The following is a 4,413-nucleotide window of genomic DNA, read 5'->3' as shown; positions in this document are numbered from 1 at the left end:
AGTCTTGATTGTATACAAAGCATATCTCAGAGATATGATTCCAGACAACAACAATAAAGTGAATCATACAAAATTTTGGTTAATCAGTGCACAAAAGAGTTATATTTACACTATTCTGTAATCTAAGTTTGCAATAGTATTATGTCTAAAAAACAATATATATAACTTTAAGATATTTTATTACCAAAAAATGCTAGCAATTATCTGAGCCATGAGTGAGTTGTATACATCCTTTTGCTGGTAGAAGCTCTGCCTTGTTACTGATGGCTGCTGACTAATCAGGGTGGTGGTTGCTGAAGATTGGGGTCATTGTGGCAATTCTTTAAAGTAAGCCAAAAATGAAGTTTGCCACATCAACTGATTCTTTCTTCCGTGGAATACTAGTCTGCAGTATGTGATGATATTTGATAAGTATAGTAAATTGGTAAAATTTGTATTGCTCCTGTCAAACGCTACCACTGCTTTGTCAATTTAATTTATGTAATTTTCAAAATCTTTTGTTGTAATTTCAACGATGTTCACAGCCTCTTTACCAGGAGAAGATTCGGTCTCAATAAACCACTTTCTTTGAGCATACGTAAGAAGCAATTCCTTACTCATTTAAGTTTTAGAATGAGATTGCAGGAATTCAGTCACAACTTCAGGCTCCACTGCTAGCTCCACCACATCTGCATTTACTTCCTCACTTAAAGTCTTGAACCCTCAAAGTCATCCACAAGGGTTGAAATCAACTTCTTCCAAACTTTTGTTAATGGTGAAATTTTGGCCTCCTCCCATGAATCATAAATGTTATTAATGGCATGTGCAATAGTGAACCCTTTTCAGAGGTTTTCAATTTATTTTACTTAGAACCATCAGAGAAATCACTCTCTGCACCAGCTATAGCCTTACAAAATATATTTCTTATATAATAAGACTTGAAAGTTGAAATTACTTCTTAATTCATGGCTGTAGGATGAATGTTGTGTTAGAAGGCATGAAAACATTAATCTCCTCAGACATCTCCATCAAGGCTTCAGAGCTCTTGGCTGACTAAGTGCCCTGTTAATAAGCCAAAATATTTTATTTTATTATTTAATTAATTTATTATTTTTTATCTATAACTTTTATTTTAGGTTCAGGAGTACATGTGAAGATTTGTTATATAGGTAAACTCATGCCGAGGGGGTTTGATGTACATATTATTTCATCACTCAGGTACTAAACCTAGTACTCAATTATTTTTTCTGCTCTTCTCCCTTCTCCCACCCTACACCCTCTGGGAGGCTCCAGTTTTCCTCTTTGTGTCCAAATGTTCTTATCATTTAGTTCTCAATTATAAGTGAGAACATACAGTATTTGGTTTTGTGTTCTTGCTTTAGTCTGATAAGGATAATGGCCTCTTGATCCATTCATGTTCCTGCAAGACATGATCTCATCCTTTTTATGGCTGCATAGTACTCCATGTTGTATATGTACCACATTTTCTTTATCCAGACTTCCAATGATGGACATTTAGGTTGATTCCATTCTTTGCGAATGTGAACAGTGAGCATAAGTACATACGTGTCTTTATACTAGAATATTTTATATTACTTTGGGTATATACTCAATAATGAAACTGCTGAGTTGAACAGTAGCTCTGTTTTTAGCTCTTTGAGGAATCACCACACTGTTTTCCGCAATGGTTGAACCAATTTACACTCTCGGCAAAAGCATTTCCTTTTCTCTGCATTCTTGCCAGCATCTGTTTTTTTTTTTTTTTTTTTTTTTGACTTTTTAATAATAGCCATTCTGATTTGTGTGAGATGGTATCTTACTGTGGTTTTGATTTGCATTCTCCAGTGACTAGTGATATTCAGCTTTTCACATGCTTGTTGGCAGTGTATACGTCTTTTTTGAAAGTGTCTGTTCATGTTCTTTGCCACCTTTCTAATTTTTTTTTTTTCTGGTAAAGTTGTTTAAGTTCCTTATAGATGCTAGATGTTAGATCTTTGGCAGATGCATAGTTTGCACATAGTTTCTCCCACTCTGTAGGTTTTCTGTTTACTCTGTTGACAGTTTTTTTGTGGTGCAGAAACTTTTTAATTTAATTAGATTCCATTTGCCAATTTTTGCTTTTGTTGCTATTGCTTTTGGCATCTTTGTCATGAAATACTTGCCCCTGCTTATTTCCTGAATGGTATTGGCTAAGTTTTCTTCCAGGGTTTTTACAGTTTTGGGTTTTACATTTAATTCTTTAATCCATGGTGATGGTTAATATTAAGTGTCAACTTGGTTGGATTTAAGGATGCAAAGTGCTGTTCCTGGGTGTGTCTGTGAGTGTGTTGCCTAAGGAGATTAACATTTGAGTCAGTGGACCTGGAAAGGCAGACCCACTCTCTATCTGGGTGGGCACAAATTAATCAGCTGCCAGCATGGCCAGAATAAAAGCAGGCAGAAGAACGTGAAAAGGCTAGACTAGCTTAGTCTCTCAGTTTGCATCTTTCTCCCACGCTGGATGCTTTCTGCCCTCAAACATTGGACTCCAAGTTCTTCAGCTTTGGGACTCCGACTGGCCTCCTTGCTCCTCAGCTTGCAGATGGCCTGTTGTGTAACCTCATCTTGTGATTGTGTGAGTCAATACTCCTTAATAAACTCCCCTTTATATATGCATATACTTATTAGTTCTGTTCCTCTAGAGAATCCTAATACATCCATCTTGAGTTGAATTTTGTATATGGCATAAGAAAGGAGTCCAGTTTCAATCTTCTGCATATGTCTAGCCAGTTATCCCAGCACCATTTATTGAATAGAGAATTTTTCCCCATTGCTTGTTTTTGTCAGCTTTGTTGAAGATCAGATAGATGTAGGTTATGGCCTTATTTCTGGGCTCTCAATTCTGTTCCCTTTGTCTATGTGTCTGTATTTGTACCAGTACTGAGCTGTTTTGGTTACCATATCCCTGTAGTATAGTTTGAAGTCTGGTAGTGTGATACCTCCAGCTTTGTTCTTTTTGTTTAGGATTATCTTTGCTATTTGGGCTTTTTTGTCTCACATAAGTTAATTTTTTTTCTAGTTTTGTGAAAATGTTGTTGGTAGTTTGGTAAAAATAGAATTGGATTTGTAAATTGCTTTGGGCAGTATGGCCATTTCAATATTCTCCTGAATAATGTCTTTTGAATTGTATCATCTCTGATTTTTTTGAGCACTGTTTTGTAATTCTCATTGTAGATAGTATTCACCTCCCTGGTTAGCTGGTATTCTTAGGCATATTATTCTTTTTGTGGCAATTGGGAATGAGATTGCATTCCTGAATGCTCTCGTCTTGGCTGTTGTTGGCATATAGAATGGTAGCAATTTTTGTACATTGATTTTGTATCTTGAAACTTTGCTGAAGTTGTTTATCAGCTGAAGGAGCTTTTTGGCTGAGACTATAAGGCTTTCTAATTATGGAATCATGTCATTTACAAACAGGGATAGTTTGACTTCCTCTCTTCCTACTTGAATTCCTTTTATTTATTTCTTTGCCTGATTTCCCTGGGCAGAACTTCCAATACTATGCTGAATAGAAGTGATGAGAGAGGGTATCCTGGTCTCGCACTGGTTTTCAAAGGGAATGCTTCCAGCTTTTGCCTATTCAGTATGAGGTTGGCTGTGGGTTCATCATAGATGGCTCTTATTATATTGAGATATCCTTCAATACCTAGTTTACTGACAGTTTTTAACATGAAGGGTGTTTAATTTTATTGAAAGTCTTCTCTGAATCTATTGAGATAATCATGTGGTTTTTGTCTAGTTCTGTTTATATGATGAATTATGTCTACGGATTTGTGTATGTTGAACAAATCTTGTATCCCAGGGATAAAGCCTACTTGATTGTGGTGAATTAGCTGTTTTCATGTGCTGCTGGATTCCTTTTGCTAGTATTTAATTGAGGATTTTTGCATCAATATTTACCAAGAATATTGGCCTGAAGTTTTCTTTTTCTTGTTGTTTCTCTGTCAGGTTTTTGTAACAGGATGATACTGGCCTCATAAAATGTGTTGGGGAGGAGTTCCTCCTACTCAATGTTTTGGAGTACTTTTTGTGGGAATGGTATCAGCTCTTTGATTTGATTGTGAATTTGGTTGTGAATCCATCAGATATAGGGCTTTTTTGGTTGGTGGGCTGTTCATTACTGATTTAATTTCCGAACTCATTGTTGGTCTGTTGAAGGATTCAATTTCTTCCTGGTTCTGTCTTGGGAGGGTGTATGTGTCTAGGAATTTATCCATTTCTTTTGGATTTCCTAGTTTGTGTGCATTGAGGTGTTCATAATATTCTCTGATAGTTAATTGTATTTCTCTGGGGACAGTGATAATATCCCTTTTGTTGTTTCTGATTGTGTTTCTTTCGATCATCTCTCTTTTCTTCTTTATTAGTCTAGCTAGTTGTCTCTCTATCTTACTACTT

Source organism: Homo sapiens, chromosome 3 (assembly GCF_000001405.40).
Source record: "Homo sapiens chromosome 3, GRCh38.p14 Primary Assembly".
In the NCBI taxonomy this organism is placed as follows: Eukaryota; Metazoa; Chordata; class Mammalia; order Primates; family Hominidae; genus Homo; species Homo sapiens.
The sequence above is the reverse complement of the archived record's forward strand: the minus strand, read 5'-3'. Positions refer to the sequence as shown.